Source organism: Homo sapiens, chromosome 7 (assembly GCF_000001405.40).
Source record: "Homo sapiens chromosome 7, GRCh38.p14 Primary Assembly".
Lineage (NCBI taxonomy): Eukaryota > Metazoa > Chordata > Mammalia > Primates > Hominidae > Homo > Homo sapiens.
Window position 1 is genome coordinate 23,404,594 of NC_000007.14, and position 22,844 is coordinate 23,427,437.

The following is a 22,844-nucleotide window of genomic DNA, read 5'->3' on the forward strand; positions in this document are numbered from 1 at the left end:
GGTATTTGTGAATATATACAATAGACATCTAGGCAAGATCGCAGTAAATTATAGCCTTTCTCATCCCCACATGGAAAGTAATACTGAATAGTAATTACTGAATAGTAATATTGTGTTTTGAGTAAGACAAAGTAGGCCATTCAGGAAATCAAAATACGGCAAGTGGGGGGTGGGGGTGGGGATGGCCTTAGTACTGAGAAAACTCTTGCTTTTCTGGTTGCTGATAATAAAATTAGACACAGCATTAATAGTGCCCTGTCACTCCCAATTGGTTTACTGTTCTAAAACCCTACCAGGAGACCTTTGCCCTCCCCAGTCTTAACCTTGTATATTTTGTTCATTAAAACTGGAGGTAGAAAGACAGGAAAAGAGCAACAAGTGAAGGTTTTTATATACTTAAATTTAAAATGATGAGCACTGCATACACATCTCTAGTGCTGAGTCACATGGAAAAATTGAACACGCATTTCTTTTAAGAGGGTAAGTCCTGTTCAGTCTCAATTCAACCAAAGGTTATCTACAAGAAAAAAGCAAATCACTTATGAGTAGTTACTCTGTTCTTGAGAAATGAAAAATTCAAATTCACCTCTTTTGAAATTTAAAAGGCATCAAAAAACAATATTCAAAGAAACAACTTAAACTTTAGTTCCAGGTTCTAGATCCAGACAAATTTCAATAAGCACACCCACCTTGTTTCTCCCACTGAAAGCAGTTAAAAAATCTAGACAGAAAGTATCAAACAATAATTTGAAGACTCAAAGTAAAGATAACAGACAGACTAGGAACTCTATAGTACTACAGAAACTGAAGTGATTTGCTTCTTTTTTTCCCTCTGCTATGCCCCAGCCTAGACTCAGCAGCAAAAAACTTTCAAGTTGTTAGTGGATACAGACAGATCTTAGGAGAAGCCTTGTAGTTTAGGCTGGAGAAGCAAGAAAGGGGAACCGGGCCGCACAGCAGAAGGTGAGAGGAGGTGAGCAGGCTTAAATGCCTGAGCCCCGCCTCCTGTCAGATCAGCAATGGCAGCGTTAGATTCTCATGGAAGTGCGTACCCTATTGTGAACTGCGCACGCGAGGGATCTAGGTTGCATACTCCTTATGAGATTCTAACCAATGCCTGATGATCTGAGGTAGAACAGTTTCTATCCCGAAACCACTCCCCTTCCCCAACCATGAAAAAATTGTTTTAATGCATAAAAAGAGTTTCTGAACTCTTCAACCAGGGCTGTATGGATTTCCTGAGAACAAACAAGTCCATCTTGGTGAAAGAATTCGCCTTCACTGATGTGAAACTAAAGGTTGAGCAAGTTTGCTTCTGGAGAAGAATGCTGTGGACAGGCTTACACATGATGATGGAGCAATGGAAATATTAATGCTGGGTGATTAACACAGACTCTACAACCGGTGAGTTCTCTTCAGAACCTCTGGACGACTGTTGCAAAGAAATAAAAGCCATGATCAAAATTTTCTGATTAAAAAAAAAAAAAAAGAAAGAAAAATTGTCTTCTACGAAACCAGTCCCTGGTGCCAAAAAGGTTGGGGATCACTGATCTAAAACACTGATGGAGGGAAGAAGCTATAGTTCCAAGGGGATGGATTGAACCTGTTTGCTTCTTTTCCGTCTGTTTGCCTCTCGTTAGCCCTGGACATGTATACAGTTACAGGAAGTGCACAACCACGCAAGGTATCTAAGGTCCTTGCTTTTCTGATTGGAGAATCAAAAAGGGAAGCCTCAGGGAAACAAAATACTAATCAAATTGTGTCCGGAATTGGTTTCTTCCAGTGGGTTCTCGGTCTCGCTGACTTCAAGAATGAAGCCGTGGACTCCCACGGTGAGTGTTACAGTTCTTAAAGATGGTGTGTCTGGAGTTTGTTCCTTCAGATGTTCAGATGTGTCCAGAGTTTCTTCCTTCCAGTGGGTTCGTGGTCTTGCTGACTTCAGGAGTGAAGCCGCAGACCTTTGCAGTGAGTGTTACAGCTCTTAAAGGTAGTGTGGACCCAAAGAGTGAGCAGCAGCAAGATTTACTGTGAAGAGCAAAAGAACAAAGCTTCCACAGTGTGGAAGGGGACCCTGGCGGGTTGCCACTGCTGGCTCAGGTGGCCAACTTTTATTCCCTTATTTGGCCCCACCCACATCCTGCTGATTGGTCCATTTTACAGAGTGCTGATTGGTCCATTTACAAACCCTTAGCTAGACACAGAGCACTGATTGGTGCGTTTTTATAGAGTGCTGATTGGTGTGTTTACAAACCTTTAGCTAGAAACTGAGTGCTGACTGGTGTGTTTACAATCCTTTAGCTAGACAGAAAAGTTCTTCAAGTCCCCACCTGACCCAGAAGCCCAGCCACCTTCACCTCTCAAAATCATGGAGACAGAGAAGCTCATTCAGCTTCAACATCATGAAGTTATTAGAAATCAATAAAACAGATAAAGCTCTGCAAGGCTGATGAAGATTTTAAGAGAGAGAACACAAAAATTACTAGTATCAGAATTAAAAAGTGGAGATATCACTAGAGACCCCACAGACATTAAAGGATAAGCGAATACTACAAAGCTTTATGCAACTTGTCCATGATGATGTAGTTATTAAAAAAAAAAAAAAAGAAAAAAAGAAACAACTTGGATGAAATTGACCAATTCTTTGAACACTACAAACGACCCAAGATGAAATAACCTGAAGAACACTATAATTACTGAAGATATTGAATTTGAGCATAAGAAAAAAAAAAAAAGGGCTGGGTGTGGTGGTTCATGCCTGTAATCCCAGCACTTTGGGAGGCCGAGGCAAATGGATCACCTCAGGTTGGGAGTTCGAGACCAGCCTGACTAACATGGAGAAACCCCATCTCTACTAAAAATGCAAAAATTAGCTGGGCATGGTGGCGCATGTCTGTAATCCCAGCTACCTGGGAGGCCGAGGCAGGAGAATCACTTGAACCAGGAGGCAGAGGTTGTGGTGAGCCAAGATTGGGCCATCGCACTCCGGCCTGGGCAACAAAAGCAAAACTCTGTCTCCAAAAAAAAAAAAAAAAAAACTTCTGAGAGAAATTATTCAAGTGGTTTCACAGGTGAATTCTATCAAATACTTAAAGAAATAACACCAATTCAGCAAATCACTTCCAGAAAAGGTAAACATGTTTTCCCAACACATTTTAAGGCTGTGTTACCCTGATAACAAAATCAATGGCAATACAAAAAACATCAAACTACAGACCAATATCCTTCATGAGCAGAGACACAGTAAGTCCTCAACAAAAATGTTAGCAAATTAAACCAAGCAAAAAGAATAAAATACCACAATAAAGTGGAGTTTATCATAGGAATGCAGGGTTGGTTCAACATTTGTGGGGGGCAGGGGGCGGGGGGCGGGGGGGGGGGGAGTCAATGTAATTCATTTACAGCCTAAAAACTACATGATAATATCAATTCATGCAGAAAAAGCATTTGAAACAATCCAACATTCACTCATCATATAGATTGTCAACAAACTAGAAACAGAAGGCAATGTCTTCAACCTGATAAAGAGTATCTACAAAAAACCCACAGCTAACATTTTATGTGATGATGAAAGACAATGTTTTCTCACAAAAATTGAGGAAGGGTAAGGATGTCAACTCTCATTGGAGGTCCTAGACAGTACATTACAGCAATAAAAGAAAAGGCATACAGACTATAAAGGAATAAAACTATGCCCATTTGAATACATAATTGTCTAAGTAGAAAATCCCAAGCAATCTATTAAAAAATAAAAAACAAACTTTCAGAACTAGTAAGTTTAGCAATGTCAAAGGATATAAGGTCAACACACAAAAATTTAAAATACTTCTACATACTAAAAACAAGTGGAAGTCCAAACTTAAAAAATAATATTCACCTACTATTTAGAAAAAAAAACAAAACAAAATAACAAGTGTTGAAGTGGACATGGAGAAGTTAGAACACACTTGGGCACTGTTGGTAGAAATGTAAAACAGTACAGCTGCTATGGAAAACAGTAATGGCAATTCCTGAAATAATTAAAAACATAATTGCTATAACATCTTTTTCACTGGTTTATTCAAGGAGAGGAAAAGAAGAACTGCTATAACATCCAGCAATCCCACTTCTAGGTACATACCCAAAAGAATTGAAAGCAGAGTCTCAAAGAGATATTTATTCACCTACATTCACGGTGGCATTGATCACAATAGCCAAAAGGTAGAAGCAATCCATATGCCCATGGACAGAAGAATAAACAAAAGGTAGAATACACAGACAGAGGAATACTACACTTAACTTTCAAAAGAAAATTCTGACACATACTACGACAGCGGTCCCCAACTATTTTCGCACCAGGGACTGGTTTCATGGAAGACAATTTTTCCACGGACAGAGAGTGGGGATGGGGGGGATGGCTTCAGGATGAAACTGTTCCACCTCAGATCATCAGGCATTAGATTCTCCTAAGGAGTGAGCAACCTAGATCCCTCAACGTGTGCAGTTCACAATAGGGTATGCATTCCTATGAGAATCTAATGCTGTCACTGATCTGTCAGGAGGTGAAGCTTAGGCAGTAATGCTCGCTCACTTGCCACTCACCTCCTGTGGTACAGCCCAGTTCCTAACAGGCCACAGATGGTACCAGTCTGAGGCCTGGGGGTTAGGGACCCCTGTGCTACAACATGGTTGAACAGCATACTAAGTGAAATAAGCCAGTCATAAAAAGACAACTTAGTAAAGTTGATAATTATTCCAAAAGGGTTTTTTTGTTGTTAACTTATTGCAATCCCAATAAACATCCCAGCAGAATTTTTGTGTATAGACTTGCTGGTTCCAAAATACACGTGGAAAAGCAAAGTAAAGACAATAGCCACAATTCTGAAAAACAATAAAGTTGAAGGAATAATACTATTCAATTTTAAGACTTATAAAGATACCGTAACCAAGAAAGTGTAGTAGCAAAGGGACAGACACATAAATCAATGGGATAAAAGAGTCCAGAAACAGACCCACACAAATATGGTCAATTGATTTGTAACAAAAGTGTGAGGGCAATTCAATGGAAAAGGAACAATATTTTCAATTTTTGGTGTTAGAATGAGACATTTACATGCAAAAAATAAAACCACAGCCTGTGAAGCATACATTACATAAAAATTAACTCAAAATGCACCATAGGCTTAAGACAATAGGAGAAAACCTTCATAACTTTGATTTAGGCAAAAAGTTTTTAGACAGGACACCAAAAATACTATTCATAAAATGAGATTGGCACAAATGAATACACTGAACTTCATTAAAATTTAAAACTTTTGGCCAGGTGCGATGGCTCAAGCCTCTAATCCCAGCACTTTGGGAGGCCAAGATGGGTTGATCACCTGAGGTCAGGAGTTTGAGACTAGCCTGGCCAACATGGTGAAACCCCATCTCTACCAAAAATACAAAAATTAGCCAGGCATGTTGGTGGGCGCCTGTAATCCCAGCTACTCAGGAGGCTGAGACACGAGAATCGCTTGAACCCAGGAGGCAGAGGTTGCAGTGAGCCGAGATCGCACCATTGCACTCCAGCCTGGGTGACAGAGCGACACTCCATCTTAAAATTTTTTTTAAAAATAAAGATACAAAAGAAAAAAAAATAGCCAGGTGTGGTGGTATGCACCTGTAGTCCCAGCTACTGGGGAGGCTGAGATGGGAGAATCACCTGAGCCCAGGAAGTCAAGGCTGCAGTGAGCTGTGATTGTGCCACTGCACTCCAGCCTGGGCGATAGGAGTCAAGATTCTGTCTCAATCAACTGATAAAGGGCATGATGACCTTTAAGATGATCATATCCAGAAAAATGACAGAAGCACAGGACAAAAGTCCAGGCAGCATAGCACAAAGGACATGGGGTAAACATGGAGGGAGCAGGGTGGGGTCAGAAATGCTTGCCTCATACACCATTCATATATACCGGTTGTAGAGAACTCTGGTATTCCCCTTGCACACCCATCACCAGATTACCTCTAGTGATGTAAAGTCTGGCCCATCCCAGAGCAGCCATGCATGAAGAACTCTATGTCTACAGTTCTTTAAACAGAGAACTTTACTAATAACTTCCCCAATGAAATTCATTCATCACTCATAACCATACATTACGTCCAGACCTGGGGAGGATCCAGTTTCTATTGGCTTCACTGTCAAGCTTTTCAGAGGCATGTTGAAACCAAATCATAATAACTAGAAGAAACAGGAACAACCCTTTGGGAGGAAGTTTTCTGTTAGAGCAACCTGATTAAGAGGAGACACTAACACTTTCCAGCTGCATGATCCCAGACAAGCTACTTCACCTCTCTGTACCACCACTGCCTTATCTGTAAAGTGGGGACATGGGACTGCTGTGAAGATTAAAACGTGTTAATTCAGTACCCGGCACATAAGTGCCTAGTACGTGTCAGCTACTTATTGGCCGAGTGGCCTGCTCAAAGTCAGGCCACTGAGAAGAAGAAAGGCACCTACCGAGAACATGCAGTTTATCTGCTATTTATTTAGAACTCCAAGCTGTCTGCTATAAAGGCAACCTTTAAACTGGTTATTTCTAATATTTAACATCTCTGACTCCCATTACTACTTCTCGCTCAGCTCATGGACAGTCTCAACGTCACTGTTTCTACAGATGTTTTCTTCTGTTGAGTTAAAGCACCTCATGGTGTTAGCTTTATGTTGCCAATTACACCTAAAATGCTTCTCAGCCAGGCACAGTGACTCATGCCTGTAATCCCAGCACTTTGGGAGGCCAAAGTGGGTGGATCACCTGAGGTCAGTAGTTTGAGACCAGCCTGGTCAACATGGTGAAACCCCGTCTCTACTAAAAATACAAAAATTATCCGGGCGTGGTGGCACACACCTGTAATCCCAGCTACTCAGGAGGCTGAGGCGGAGAATGGCTTGAACCCAGGAGGTGGACACTGTAGTGAGCAGAGATCACGCCACTGCACTCCAGCCTGGGCAACAAGTGTGAAATGCTGTCTCAAAAAGTAAGTAAATAAAATGCTTCTCAAATTTCTATTTGACATTAATTCCTGTATCCACATGGACCAAGTAGCACCTAACACAGCATCAAAAACAATCAGCAGTTGGACAGAAGATGAATGACAGTTCCTGCCTTTAAAGATGCCAACATCCAGCAGGGATGTCACCTAACTCACTCCGTGGTCCCTGCCTACTCTCTTCCCCAGGAAGTCATCTACCTCCCCACAAACCTCAAGACAGCTTTCCACTTCTCAGCACACGTTCATCCACGGCTTACAGTGGGGTCTCTCTGAGCTATTTTATATTAACTATGGTATTGTTTCGTTTTTCCTCCAGACTAGATAACATGGCATCACTACTTTTCCATTTACTTATTTCTTCACTACTTTCCCACTTATTTCTCTTTTTTTTTTTTTTTTTTTTTTCAGTAGAGTCTCGCCTGCCGCCCAGGAGTACAGTGGCACAATTTCAGCTCACTGCAACCTCTGCATCCTAGGCTCAAGCAATTTTTGTGCCTCAGCCTCCTGAGTAGCTAAGATTACAGGCATGCGCTACCATGCCTGGCTAATTTTTGTATTTATAGTAGAGATTGGGTTTTGCCATGTTGGCCAGGCTGGTCTCAAACTCCTGGCCTCAAGTGATTTGCCTGCCTCAGCCTCCCAAAGTGCTGGGATTACAGGCCTGAGCCACCATACCAGGCCTACTTGTTTCTTCTAAATAAGGAATACTTGGTTTCCCTTCTTTGACCAGAGCCTCACTTAATACTCATCTTCCCAGATCAATTAAGTCCAGGAAAAAAATCAAATATGCAAGTGTTGAAGTAAAACCAAGAAACGTTCTGAATTTTCTAGCAAGACTGTGATTTTTAAGTATGTATTCCCCATAAGTACCTGTCAGATCACGTATTCAAATCTTTGCTCGGAAAACAGTCATTCCAGTCATGAGTGATGTGGGGGCCCCACCAGCATGGAGAACCTGGTGCATAGGCTGTTTCCCCACACAGTAAACACAGGGAAATATTGTTTCACCTTCCTCATCAGCCCCCAAAATGACAACCTTCCTTGCCCTTTCCTCTAGGACCACTTCATTTACCTAATGTCTTCCTTTACATAAGGTCTTATGCTTCACTTCAGGGAAGGTACCCCCAGCTTTGGGCATTTTTTGAGTACTTATTAGGAGTTTTGATTCTTTTGACTGGAGAGTAGTTTCAAGGAAATAACATTAGGAGAAACTGAGAAATCCTTTCCTTAAGACTCTGGCCTTTTTTTTTTTTTTTTTTTTTTTTTTTTTTTTTTTGAGACAGAGTCTTGCTTTGTCACCCAGGCTGGAGTGCAGTGGTGCGATCTTGGCTCACTGCAACCTCCGCCTCCCGGGTTCAAGAGGTTCCCCTGACTCAACCTCCTGAGTAGCTGGGATTACAAGCCTGTGCCACCACACCCGGCTAATTTCTGTATTTTTAGTTAAGATGGGGTTTCTCCATGTTGGCCAGGCTGGTCTCGATCTCCTGACCTCAAGTGACCCACCTGCCTTGGCCTCCCAAAGTGCTGGGATTACAGGCGTGAGTCACCGCAACTGGCCCCACTTACTGTGTATTTTTTACATACAAAAAGACATTCCTGCCGGGCGCAGTGGCTCCCGCCTGTAATCCCAGCACTTTGGGAGGCTGAGATGTACAGATCACTTGAGGTCAGGAGTTCGAGACCAGCCTGGTCAACATGGTGTAGCCCTGTCTCTACTAAAAATACAAAACTCAGCCGGGTGTGGTGGCAGGCACCTGTAATCCCAGCTACTCAGGAGGCTGAGGCAGGAGAATTGCTTGAACCCAGGAGGCGGAGGTTGCAGTGAGCCGAGGTCGTCGCATCACTGCACTCCAGCCTCGATGAAAGAGCAAGACTCCGTCTCAAAAACAAAACAACAACAAAAAGACATTCCTTAAATTTAGAAAATGGAGCCCACTTGAGAAATTGAGTAGGCAAAAGAAAAAATATCTAAAGGTGTTTAATGTCAAGTACTCCACTAAGGCTTTCTCCCAAAGCCCTACCCTTATCCATTTAAGGAAGGGCTCTCAAATCCTCCTTCTAATGTACACTTCCCCTGTGGCATCTGAACATCCACATCGTTGTCTGCTGGGACTGTTTCTGTGGAGGAATCCTTCCAGTCTGGTCACACTGAGTCTACTCTTCAGGTACCTCAGGCAAAACAGGATGGATGAGAAACCACCATTTTCCCTTATTTCTTTGCTATATTCCATATATTTGGGAGAAAACAAACCTACCTAATTCTCTAGCAGTGAGTCCTTCAGAAAGTTAGTCTGTAATCCCAGCACTGTGGGAGGCCAAGGCGGGCAGATCACAAGGTCAAGAGATTGAAACCATCCCGGCTAACAATGAAACCCCGTCTCTACTAAAAATACAAAAAATTAGCTGGGCATGGTGGCGCGCACCTGTAGTCCCAGCCACTCAGGAGGCTGAAGCAGGAGAATCACTTGAACCCAGGAGGCAGAGGCTGCAGTGAGCCGAGATTGTGCCACTGCACTCCAACCTGGGTGACAGAGCAAGACTCTGTCTCCAAAAAAAAAAAAAAGTTAGTCTCCCAGTATCTTCATCTGCCATAAACATTTAGCAGAATCCAGTGCCCACCCATAAGTGCTTTATCATCATCTAAAACTAAGTGGTTAGAAACTGTTTAAAGCTGCTTGACACAGCATGTAAGATATGCGGTCCAGAGAACTTGAGGAATCCCCTTCTGATCATTTAGTAGTATATGGTGGAATACAGATAACATAAATAATAAAGATCTAACAGTAACAGAAAGGTAACACTCCAGGTACAGATCTTACAAAACACCAAACGTCACAAGCGTTTCTGCTGTGGTCCCAGATTCTGTTACCTCTTCAGTGACTTCACAGAATCTGGCTTACAAGATGACTCCTAGAATTGGGGCAGGAGATTGTCTTACTTCAAGGTTAGAGGTTTGCCTTGATATTAAGCTCTCAGTTCCATCAGACTGACAGGGTATATGAGGCATTAGGGCAAACAAAGAAAAATAAGCTCTCAGTTCCAAATGTACTTCTCAGCTTTGTGATGCCAGGTCTAGGACTATGGACTCTAATCTCTCCTTTGCCAGCTGTTACCTGTTAGTTTCTGCCAATAGAAGGCACCAGAGGGGTACTAGAAAGCAGGAGTCGGGATAGAGATGACATGCTCTTGCCCGTCTGTCAGTCGGCATCCCCACACCCACAGGTCCCGTCCATCAGTCGACATCAGCAGGCCCTGTCCGTCAGTCGGCATCCCCACATCCGCAGGTCCCTGTCCATCAGTCGGCATCACCACATCTGCAAGTCCCTCTCCGTCAGTCAGCATCACTGCATCCATAGGTCCCCATCCGTCAGTCAGCATCACTGCATCTGCAGGTCCCGTCCTTCAGTTGGTATCACCGCATCACCAGGTCCCATCCGTCAGTCAGCATCACCCCACCCGCAGGTCCCCATCTGTCAGTCGGCTTTACCACATTAGCAGGTCCCGTCCGTCAGTCGGCTTCACTGCATTACCAGGTCCTGTCTGTCAGTCAGCTTCACCACATCAGCAGGTCCCGTCCGTCAGTCGGCTTCACTGCAACACCAGGTCCCGTCCGTCAGTCGGCATCAACGCATCACCAGGTCCCTACCCATCAGTCGGCATCACCGCATCACCAAGTCCCTGTACGTCAGTCAGCATCACCACATCCGCAGGTCCCCGTTCATCGGCTTCACCGCATCCGCAGGTCCCGTCCATCAGTCGGCATCACCGCATCGCCAGGTCCCCCTCCATCAGTCGGCATCACCGCATCCGCAGGTCCCCCTCCGTCAGCCGGCATCACCGCATCCGCAGGTCCCCCTCCGTCAGTCGGCATCACCGCATCCGCAGGTCCCCCTCCGTCAGTCGGCATCACTGCATCCGCAGGTCCCGTCCGTCAGTCGGCATCACCGCATCCGCAGGTCCCTGTCTGTCAGCCGGCGTCACTGAATCAGCAGTTGGTTACAGCCTCTAGCTCCTCTGGACACTCTGAACAAGATGTATAACTCCTCTCTCCTCCCCACATCCCAGGCGCCAGCCATAGCCAAGGAGCTCCCATGGCTCAGAAATCTAAGTCTCAGGTGCTCAGGGCTCTTCCCTCCAAGTCTCTAGGATCCAAAACCTCAACTTCCTCTTTGGCCTTCCAACCCTCAGGCCGTGGCTGCTCCTTACAGTCACTACTCTGGATTCTCTTTGTTCTTTCGCCTTTCAGCACCTGTGTGATTCTCCCTGGTGAAATACCGAGTATGTTATCTGTGCTCCTGCCTGGATCTCACTGAGACAAGCACAAAACCTAAGGCTGAGAGCTGGTGAATTTGTTGTTCTTATTATATCATAGCTAAAACATATTGTGTACTTATATGTACCAAGCACTGTTTTAAAGGCTTTATCATGCATAATCCTATTTAATGCTCAAAGCAACCCAATGAGGGGGCCACCATCATCACCCCTGGTTAGAAAAGAGGAAAATGAGGCTCAAAGAATTTTAAAAACCTGTTCAGAGATCCCATAACTAGATCACACAATGAGAAAGTAGTGGAGCTAGGACATAATTCCAAGTCTGACCTCAAGGCTGCCCCATTTCCTGCAAAAAAAATAAAAATAAATAAATAAAATACAACTATAAGGCTTTTTTAGGTGCTCCAAGCTGCTTCACAGGGCTATTTACATTGCTCACAGAGAACTTACTATAGTGCTTTTTTGTTATCCTCTTGAGTCTTACTCTGTAACAGGCCCCTTCCTTTTTTCATCCCACTGCTCCTCTAGCAAAACAGGATGTCCTGTGGAATATCCCATATTTAGGACATGGCTAGTTGTTTCTTTGATGCATCATTTAATTTGTCACTCTATCTTCTGTATTTCTTGTAAACTCAAAGTTAGATTAAGACTGAAGCCAGTTGAACCTATTGAGATAAGACTATTTCCTCTGTGGTGACATGTATATTCTACTGCATTAAAGTAGAAGGTACATAAGGTCCGGTCATTCCACTTTCAGTGATTCTAAGATTAATCAGGGACTCAATGCCTAATCTTCCATTATAAAAATTGTCCAGAACTGCAAAATTATCGCTGTTTATGATAAGGCTTTGGCACAAAACAAGCGGCATACCCAGCGTGAATAAATAAAATATATACAGGCTGGGTGCAGTGGCTCACGCCTGTAATCCCAGCACTTTGGGAGACCAAGGCTGGTGGATCGCCTGAGGTCAGGAGTTTGAGACTAGCCTAACCAACGTGGTAAAATCCCATCTCTACTAAAAATACAAAAAATTAGCCAGGCGTGGTTGGCGGATGCCTGTAATCCCAACTACTAGTGAGGCTGAGGCAGGAGAATCATTTGAACCTGGGAGGCGGAGGTTGCAGTCAGCCAAGATTGCACCATTCCACTCCAGCCTGGGCAATGAGAGCGAAACTCCATCTCAAAAAACAAACAAACAAACAAACAAAAACATACAAAGTGACCCTTCTCAAAAAGGAAATAGTGTTCCCTCAAGCCTTTAAGGAAAGAAACACCTAACAGCAGCAGCCCATCTTATTCCTAACGAACTCTCAATAAAATTGTTTTTGTTGATCAATATGTAAATAATCATTAAATTTTTAAAGGGAGTCAAAGGTGAAGAATTCCAAAGTCTAGTTCCAAGCATCTTACGATTCAGTATGTGCTCTTGCTTAATTAACTTTATCTTGCGTGCCCATATTTGCCCATTTGAAAACAGAGATAATCCACTAACTTGACACTACCTCAAAGGACAATGAGGAGAGTAAAGTGAAATACAAAAATTAAGAAAAGTTAGATACGGCAAATACCCAGAATAAGGGAAAATGCAATAAACTAAAAGCTAAATTCTCTAAATTTGAAGAGATTATGAATGAATTAAAAGGAAACTCTGCCCATAGCAGATATGCTAGTACTCTAATAATTTACTTAAACTTGGTTTCTACCATTTGGCTGTTTCATAGAAAGCTACATCATACCAGATGTAGCTCCTGAACAAAAAAAATCATATTAAATTACATTTTAAATCATATTTAATATGGCTCATCTTAAAATAAGGGGATTGAACTAGTAATCTTGCTATTACAACACTTGAGGACCTATCCCACAAGCTACTGAATTCCCTAAATAAATGTTAATCTAAAACAGGAACATGTAAAAAGTTTAATCTTATAACCCACCGTTTCCATCTATAAAGTATATTTTTAGTGCATTATATAACTTGCAATATATTCAGCATATACCAAAAACCAACCCCTTCCTGCAAAGCTTAATCTCAATAATACTGTTCTGAAGATAAATATTCTCAGCACAAATCACCTGTGACCAACTGAGAAACCTTGGAGAATCAGACTTAGATCAACTTCCCACCAAACTAACCTTTTAACCAAACTTTGCATTTTGATGGGGGTTATGATTTAGTGACTCATCAAATGTCATTTTAGAAGACTAGTCTAAAACACACAAAACTAGTTAGTCTTGATTTTTTTTATATTAGAGATACATAAAAGCTAAGCAGTTTCTCTGCACCACCCTCTCCAAGGTGGGTTTTAAGAACTTTCAGGTTCCATTGTCTGAAGAGTCAAAAGACATTTTCTTTTATCCCTTCAACTACTGGTGTCTCAGATTCTCACCATGACATCATTATTATGCTTTGGAAACTGCTGACACAGGCTATTCAATTGTGCTAAATAGTTTGTGTTTATGCATATTACACAATCAGTGCAGTGCCACCATCTGAGCAAAAGGAAGCAGAATAACATTTTAAAGTAACAGCACAAAATAGCAGGTATTTGTCTTTTTAAAACTTTGCCAAGATAGGAACTTCATATTTAAATACAATTGGCAAACTCATCAGAAAGAACTGAAATCAACAAAATCCTGTTGGGAAGTGACTGAATGAGAAAGATTACCCAGTTACCCAAGAATATATTTCAATATTTGGTTTCTTATCCCAAAGAGCAGATTTTTAAAAGATACACTGTGCCCTTACTAAGAAAAACCCACACCAAGGCACGGGTCATAGGAGAAGAATTTTATGTTCTAGCACACCCAAGAGTTGAGGAAAGGAGAAAAAGCTTTGAAAAAACTAACAGCAATAGGCTTCCATACTTAGATCTTAATTTTAAATACAGAAATTCTTACCTCCCACTGTAAATGAGGCGGGATATTTCGTATCTGAAGTTTCCGAATCCTGCAGAAGAATTAAAATGTTTTTTAAAAGAAAAAAACATAAAAGCAAAACAATAATAGCCAACATGGAAGTTTAGAAACTACTTAAAATATTAACTCTATATTAATTACAAACCAATATCTATTAAGAAAATACAGCCCAAGAAGGAAAAGCAAAGAAGCAAAGTCATAAAATGCATAGAGACCATTTGGAGATCCAGCATTTATCGGACTGTTATGACTTATTTTAAAAGCCACTAAAATTGGCAGATAGAATGTTTAAAACACACTTATCTGATGACTACATTCTAAGTTCAAATCCGTTAGCTTCAAATTAGGCATCCCAGGACACAAACAAGGCCTTAGTCCAGGTGACCTTACTCTGACCGTTACAGCTAAGGAGTCCATGGATAAAATTCAGGGAAATAAAAATGAGGTGTGGGTGGCAGGAAATTACACATTTATCTTCACTATCCCCTAAATGAAATTTAACACGTCCTTCAATTATGAATGCTGGCACTAAACCACAGAATTACAGTACTTGTAATTTTGACATCAATATAAATCAGATATTTTCATACCACATTAGACTGTTGGAGATCTTTATCATCTATACTCATTACTGTGAAACTTAGATGTGTTGCTAGAACTTGTTGCTTATTATACTAAGCACCTATCACCAAGTTTTAACATTCTGCTAACTACATTTTAAAATAATTGGTTTCCTTTATAATCCTACGTATTTTATGCATTTTAAAACATCCTGAGGCCAGGCACAGTGGCTCAGGCCTATAATCCCAACACTTTGGGTGGCCAAGGCAGGTGGATCACTTGAGGTCTGGAGGTCAGGACCAGACTGGCCAACATGGTGAAACTCCTCCTCTACTAAAATTACAAAAAATTAGCTGGGCATGGTGGCAGGTGCCTGTAGTCCCAGCTACTCCAGATGCTGAGGCAGAAGAATCACTTGAACCTGGGAGGCGGAGGTTGCGGTAAGCCAAGATTGCATCACGGCACTGCAGCCTGGGCGACAGAGCGAGACTCCATCTCAAAAAAATAAAAAATAAGACATACTGAAACATAAGAAGAGATCCATAGGTTTCAGACTGCTAAAGGAGTGCACAGTACAGAAAATGTTAAGAATCAGCACCTTAGTCCAAATGCCTCCCTACACATGTATATATGTATGTATAAGGGAAGGAAGAGGGCGACACATATAACACAACTGCATGTTAACTGTATGAGACTATACCATAGAAGTCACATGCCAGTCACCTCCTTTGAAGGAGGAAGAATTTATAGTCAACTAGCTATTAAAAACAAAACAAAAACTAGCAATTGAGCTTGACATCTCAAGTGAAATAAATTACTTAACTTTCACAATTAGAACTATAGGACAGGCCTTGTGGCTTATGCCTGTAATCCCAGCACTTTAGGAGGATCACCTGAGCCCAGGAGTTCCAGACCAGCCTGGACAACATAGCCAAACCCCATCTCTACAAAAATCTTTTTAAAATTTTTTTAAACTAGCTGGGCATGGTGTTGCATGCTTGTAGTACCACCTACTCAGGAGACTGAGATGGAAGGATTGCTTGAGACCAGGAGTTCAAAGCTACAGTGAGCTGTGACTGCACCACTGCAATCCAGCCTGGGCAACAGAGTGACAACCTGTCTCAAAAAGAAAAGAGAAGAAAAAAGAAAAATAAAAAACAGAAAAAAAACAAAGAACTATAGTGAACTTCTCTTTCCAGGTCAAATAATCCACAATTTTGAAGTATCTGAGGAAAACACCAGTTTAGTCTAGATTCATAACCTAGTTTAGTCCTTTGCCTCTTCCCTTTCCCCAAAAGGGTGAGAACAAACAAATACCACAGCTGCCATTGATCCCTTCGAGAACAACAAAGAAAACCTAGATTAACTAAACTCAGGTACATCCTGTCTACAATCATAAAATGGAGGAGGGAAGGAAGAGAAGCACTTTTACATTATTTTCATGACAAAGTAAAAGCACAGTCATCAAGGTAAAATATACCAAAGAAATAAAAGAGAATGCCAGTTTAAGAGATTCAAAAATCCAAACTATAGCTAGTACAAGTTTACAGACTAAATGCTAGTTTGGGATTTGTTTCAAAATAACTCATGTGGTAATAACTGTTAAAGCTTCAGGACAGGTACCTCTCTGCTTTTATGTAAGTTTTATATTTTCTTTTTCTTTTGTGTGTGTGTGACAAGAGTCTCGCTCTGTCGCCTATGCTGGAACTCAGTGGCACAATCTCAGCTCACTGCAGCCTCTGCCTCCCGGGTTCAGGCAATTCTCCCACCTCAGCCTCCTGCGTAGCTGGGATTGCAGGCATGCGCCATCACACCCAGCTAATTATTGTATTTTTAGTAGAGACGGGGTTTCACCATGTCGACCAGGCTGGTCTCAAACTCCTGACCTCAAGTGATCCGCCTGCCTCGGCCTCCCAGAGTGCTGGGATTACAGGCATGAGCCACTGTGCCTGGCAGTATTTTCTATAAAAGGTTTAAAAAATATACCCTAATAAAAAGATTTATAATTCATAGATTTCACAACTGTTATATGTTGCTTCAATTAAAAGAAAGTTGCGGCCGGACACAGTGGCTCACACCTGTGATCCCGGCACTTTGGGAGGCTGAGGTGGGCGGATCACCTGAGGTCAGAAGTTCGAGACCAGCCTGACCAACATGGAGAAACCCCATCTCTACTAAAAATACAAAATTAGCTGGGCATGGTGGCACATGCCTGTAATCCCGGCTACTCGGGAGGCTGAGGCAGGAGAATTGCTTGACCTGGGAGGCAGAGTTTGTGGTGAGCCAAGATTGCGCCACTGCACTCTACCCTGGGTGACAGAGCGAGACTCCATCTCAAAAAAAAAAAAAAAAAGGTGCTCACACTGTATTTACCTGACTAATGAAGGTATGATTTACTACATATATGCAAGTACTAATCTGGTTTTTTGTTTGTTTTTGTTCTGTTTTGAGATGGAGTCTCACTCTGTCGCCCAGGCTGGAGTGCAGTGGCGTGGTCTTAGCTCACTGCAACCTCCGCCTCCCGGGCTCAAGGGATTCTCCTGCCTCTTCCTCCGGAGTAGCTGGGACTACAGATGCATGCCACCACATCCAGCTAGTTTTTTTATAGAGATGGTGGTCTTGCTATGTTGTCCAGGTTCATCTTGAACTCCTGGGCTCAAGCAGTCCTTCTATCTTGACCTCCCCAAAGTGCTGGGATTACAGGTGTGAGCCACCATGCCTGGCCCTATTCTGTTTTAATCAAGTATCTAACACAGTAAGGATTAGCAGCAGAGTTAAGAAACTAAGTATTCACACCTACACTGGCCTCATTTTGGAGGGTGTATATATTACCAAAAAATTTTCCCAAAAGTACACATGTAAATATACATAGAGAGTTCAGGTTAATTAGCATGTGATCATACATATTACAAAAATAAATATCCACTTCACAAAGAGGATACTATCTTTTGTTTATTAAGAGTAATCCAGGCAATACACAGTGGCTCATGCCTGTAATCCCAGCCTTTTGGGGGGCCAAGGTGGGAGGAGTGCTTAAGGCCAGGAGTAAAATTAGCGTGGTGTGGTGGCACACGCCCGTAGTCCTAGATACTCAGGATGCTGAGGTGGGAGAATCACATGAGCCCAGGAGTTTAAAGTTTCAATGAGCTATAATCATGCCACTGTACTCCAGCCTGGGCAAGGGATTGCGACCCTGTCTCACACACGCACACAAAGCAATCCATTTGCCATGTTTTCCCAAAGACTTTTTAAGAATCTCATACTCAAGGATCCCACGGATTTTCTACCCACTCTTCAAAATTTACATCCAACACCCATTTAATTATTGGAAGTTTGGATGTTACTCCAGAATAATTATTTCCCTTAAATGGTTTTCTCGTTTCCCTTACCTGATACTCTTAAGTTTCATTTTAGACAAACATCTGAGTTATTTTTATGCAGTGTTGTGCTTTGTTTTTCAGATGGGAGTCTCGCTCTCTCACCCAGGCTGGAGTATAGTAGCGTAATCTCGGCTCACTGCAACCTCTGCCTCCCAGGTTCAAGCAATTCTCCTGCCTCAGCCTTCCTAGTAGGTGGGATTATTAGATGCCCACTAACTTTAGTAAAGATAGAGTTTCACCACGTTGGCCAGGCTGGTCTCAAATACCCGATCTCAAGTGATCTGCCCGCCTCAGCCTCCCGAAGTGCTGGGATTGCAGGCGTGAGCCGCTGCGCCCAGCCCTGCAGTTAGCGTTTGATATCTAGAATTGTTCTTTCCCATTTGCTCAGTAACTAATCTTAAACTGTGTGACGTTTACCTCTGGCTCCTAACCCCGTGCTCTGCTCTTATCAGTACAAGAGCCAAAAGTCTCAACATTAACAAGAATGAACCAAAGGCATGAATTATAATCATCCAGCACAGATAAATACAAACTTCTGGCATGGAAAGAACTGGAGAAAAATCTATCTCAGTCAGCTACACAATTAAAATACTCTACTGCTTCTTTGGTCATGTTCCATCTGAGATTTGAGAATGAGTTTATATTTGGGTTTGATTCTAAATACTTACAAGTCAAGAAAAGGTATTCATATTTTAATAGAGTGTTTCTATCATATTAATTACCAAGTCATTAAAGTTCAATATAACTATCAGAAAATAAATTAGCATTTCACCATCTCCTAAAACATACATAAATACATAGGATGCACACTCCATAACAACAGGGACTAATTAGGTTATCTTGTTTGTTGCTGCATTCAGAGCCTGAACAGTGCTTGGCATCTGATAAGCATTCAATTGATAGTTAAAATGTTACACTATATGGTGGAGGGGGGGAAAGACTCACAGAACCACTATCCAGAAACTAACATTTCAAATGATTTCCTTATAGCTTATAAAGGGACCGAGAAAAACAACTGCCACACATTTTTGAGAATGGAAAAAAAAAACAAAAACCCCAAAATATTGAATTATTTAAGCATTTGCATTAATTTTAAAAATTCAGGCCAGGCACAGTGGCTTAAGCCTGTAATCCCAGCACTTTGGGAGGCCGAGGCAGGCAGATCACGAGGTCAGAAGTTCGAGACCAGCCTGATCAACATGGTGAAACCTCGTCTCTACTAAAAACATAAAAATTAGCTGGGCATGGTGGTATGCGCCTGCAATCCCAGCTACTCAGGAGGCTGAGGCAGCAGAATTGCTTGAACCCGGGAGACGGAGGTTGCAGTTAGCCAAGACTGCACCACTGCACTCCAGCCTAGGCGACAGAGTGAGACTCCATCTCAAACAAAAAAATTTTTTTTTCAACACAGTTTAAGGGTTCCCCACCAGAGGGGAAATACGGTAAATTTTAGTTCTCAGGCTAATAGATTAAAAATTTAAAGGCCAGGCGCAGTGGCTCAAGCCTGTAATCCCAGCACTTTGGGAGGCTGAGGTCGGGGGAATCATTAGGTCAGGAGTTCAAGACCAGCTTGGCCAAGATGGTGAAACCCCGTCTCTACTAAAAATACAAAAATTAGCTGGGCGTAGTGGCAGGCACCTGTAATCTCAGCTACTCGGGAGGCTGAGGCAGGAGAATCGCCTGAACCAGGAGGCGGACATTGCAGTGAGCCGAGATCGCACCACTGCACTCTAGCCTGGGCGACAAAGCAAGACTCCATCTCAAAAAATAAAAATAAACAATTTAAAAACTGCCCACTCTGCTAGAAATATTAGTTACTATGAAAATTCAATCATTATTTATTAAAAGCATGTTTAATCACAAAAGAAAGAGTCAATGATAGGCCCGGCAGGGTAGCTCATGCCTGTAAACCCAGCACTTTGGGAGAACTGCCTGAAACCAGGAGTTCCAGACAACCCTGGGCAACAAAATGAGACCCCCCACACCGGCCCTGCCTATCTACAAAAAAATCAAAATTAAAATTAATTTTTAAGAGCCAATAGAGCAGCTCATGTAGACTCTGAAGGGCATCTTCAAGATGTTTAGTAATCGATGAAACTGATTTAAGTTGATTTTATAGAAATGTTCAAATTGTCACCAATTAGAGAAAGTGAGCCTCCAAATACCCATCACCTGTTTCAATTAACGAGTATGATAATCTGATCTTGTTTATTCTATACCCACACCTGTACCAAGTCCCCCTTACGTAGCATGCCATGCTGAACTACTCCAGTAAACAACAATGAAAAATAAGGAGCTTTATTTCAACATAACCACAACAGCATTACTGCTCCTAGAAGTGATTAGCAAAAATTCCTCATTATTAGATATCCACTAAGTGTTTATTTCCAATTGCTAATAACTATCTTTTTACATGAGGTTTGTTCGTATCAAGATGCCAACAAGATATACATATGCATACAGTTGATATGCTGATATATAATCTTAGGTCTATTTAATACAAGAGTTTCCCCTCACTGTTTTCTTCACATTTATGTAGTGGTCCAAAGTCATAAAATACTACATGATTACTCATTCTGGATTTTACTCACTGCAACCCCCTTTGTATCATTTTAATAATTGTTTACTACATAGAATTAGATATATAATAATGTATTTTTTCTAAGAGATAGGATCTTGCTCTATTGCCCAGACTGGAGAGCAGTGGTACAATCACCTCACTGCAGACTCAAACCTCTGGGACTCAAGTGATCCTACCATCACAGCCTTCTGAGTAGCTGGGACCACAGGCATATGCTACCATGCCCAGCTAAATTTTTTGTAGAGATGGGGTCTCACTACATTCCCCAGGCTGGTCTGGAACTCCTGGCCTCAAGCAATCCTCCTGCCTTGGCCTCAATAATGTATAATTTGTTTATATATATAAGACATCTATGAACCCACCTCCAATAATTAGAAGATAATTGAAGATAATTGCATGCTTCTCCCCCAACCCTCCTCCTCCCAGAATATAATTATCACCCCTAATTTTTTATTCTCATGCTTTGATTTACAACAGTTATCTGCTAAAACTGACTTTTTTAGCCTGGCATAGTGGTGCATGCTTGTAGTCCCAGCTACTCGGGAGGCTGAGGCAGGAGGATCAACTGAGCCCTAGGGAGGTCGAGGCTGCAGTGAGTGGTGGTGGTACCACTGCACTCCAGCCTGGGCAACAGGGTGAGATCCTATCTCAAAAAAAACAAACAAAAAAACCCTGACTTTTAAAAAGTAGACAAAATGGTGCCAGCAGTCCTTAAAAATGACCAAAATTGTCTGGGTGCAGTGGCTCGCGCCTGTAATCCCAGCATTTTCAGAGGCCAAGGCAGGCAGATCACCTGAGGTCAGGAGTTTGAGACCAGCCTGGCCAACATCGTGAAAACCCATCTGTACTGAAAATACAAAAATTAGCCAGGCATGGTGGCACAGGCCTGTAATCCCAGCTAATTGGGAGGCTGAGGCAGGAGAATCGCTTGAACTCAGAGGCTGCAGCAAGCTGAGACCGTGCCATTGCACTCCAGCCTGGGCAGTAAGAGCAAAATTCTGTCTCAAAAAAAAAAAAAAAAAAAAGGGGGGTGGGGCCAAAATTGCCAGAAATGGTTGGGGGGAAAAAATTTAATGAGCAAAACTTAATACTATCTAGTCAGTACTCAAATTTTCCTGATTAAAAAATATCTTTCTTAACAACTGGTATGTTCAAATCAGTATTCAGATAAGATCCATATGTGGCATTTGCTTATGACTCTAGTCTTATAACCTAAATGTTACCCTTTTTCTTGCAACTTATTTGGATAAAAAACCAAAAACCTAAAATGCTGTCATTTGTCTTTGAGTTTCTCACTACCTGGAGTTTGCTAGTGACACTCCTGTAATAGTGTTTAATACATTCCTCTGTTCCCTATAAAGTTGTAGTTAGATCCAAAGGCTCAACTTGGTTTCTCTTGTTTCATATTTGAGAGAGGCAATATTCCATAGGGAGTGTTCTGTACTTCCATGGGAGTTGTTACCTCTGATATCTTTCTATGATGTTGGCAGCTACTAGTGATCACTGCCTAAACCCACTATTTCATTCAAGGTTGAAAACCATGATTTTCTCATTCTATCATGCCTTCTGTGTTTTTTAGCCAGAGTTATTCCATAAAGAACAAGTGTCCCTCATCAAATATTTGGATGCTCTGAAGCATACTAAGTATAGTAAAGACAGGATAAATACTTTATTCTTTCCCTTCTGCAGCAGATGGTTTTGTGCTCCTTATCACATCACCTGACTCATCGCTGTGGTGGACAATCAATCCCACACACATTTCAGTTGTCTCGCTTCTTTCCACCCAAAAGCACACACCTTACACAAGGCTGCTTCTTTATCTCAGGGCTTTCTCCAAAGTCTCTAGAGTACAGGAGCAGCCCAGAAACACTGGACAGACAAAATCCTTAAGAAGAACTTGCATAAATATAGGTGTATGAGGGTGCGGGCAGGAAGCTCCAATTTTTCAGATAGATAAACCTGGGAGGCATTCCGTGAATTTCTTGGAGGTCCCGTTTCCCTATAGGAAACTCAATAAAGTATCTATCATTGGCTTTTCCTCACTCCCCAATTCATTCTTCCCCTTCCCTCACTTCTTCTTGAAATCATCTCCAAAATAAACCAACTTTGGCAAATCCCTGTT

General features: G+C 42.0%; 1 protein-coding gene across 7 annotated transcripts in view, besides 1 other annotated feature; it reads right to left on the reverse strand.

The window, feature by feature from the left end:
• The window catches only part of IGF2BP3 (insulin like growth factor 2 mRNA binding protein 3), a 160,283-nt gene that overhangs the window by 94,385 nt on the left and 43,054 nt on the right, over nucleotides 1-22,844 (reverse strand). For all 7 annotated transcript variants that reach the window (NM_006547.3, XM_011515089.3, XM_047419782.1 and 4 more), the window contains one exon: nucleotides 14,183-14,231. In NM_006547.3, the coding sequence (NP_006538.2) occupies nucleotides 14,183-14,231 (49 nt within the window). The remainder of the gene's footprint in view (nucleotides 1-14,182; nucleotides 14,232-22,844) is intronic.
• Nucleotides 6,221-6,300: an enhancer, noted in NCBI's record as "active region_25725". NCBI's record gives its function as "activates an Ori minimal core promoter by ATAC-STARR-seq in GM12878 lymphoblastoid cells {active_cell/tissue: GM12878}" and the evidence as "EXISTENCE:reporter gene assay evidence [ECO:0000049][PMID:35858748]".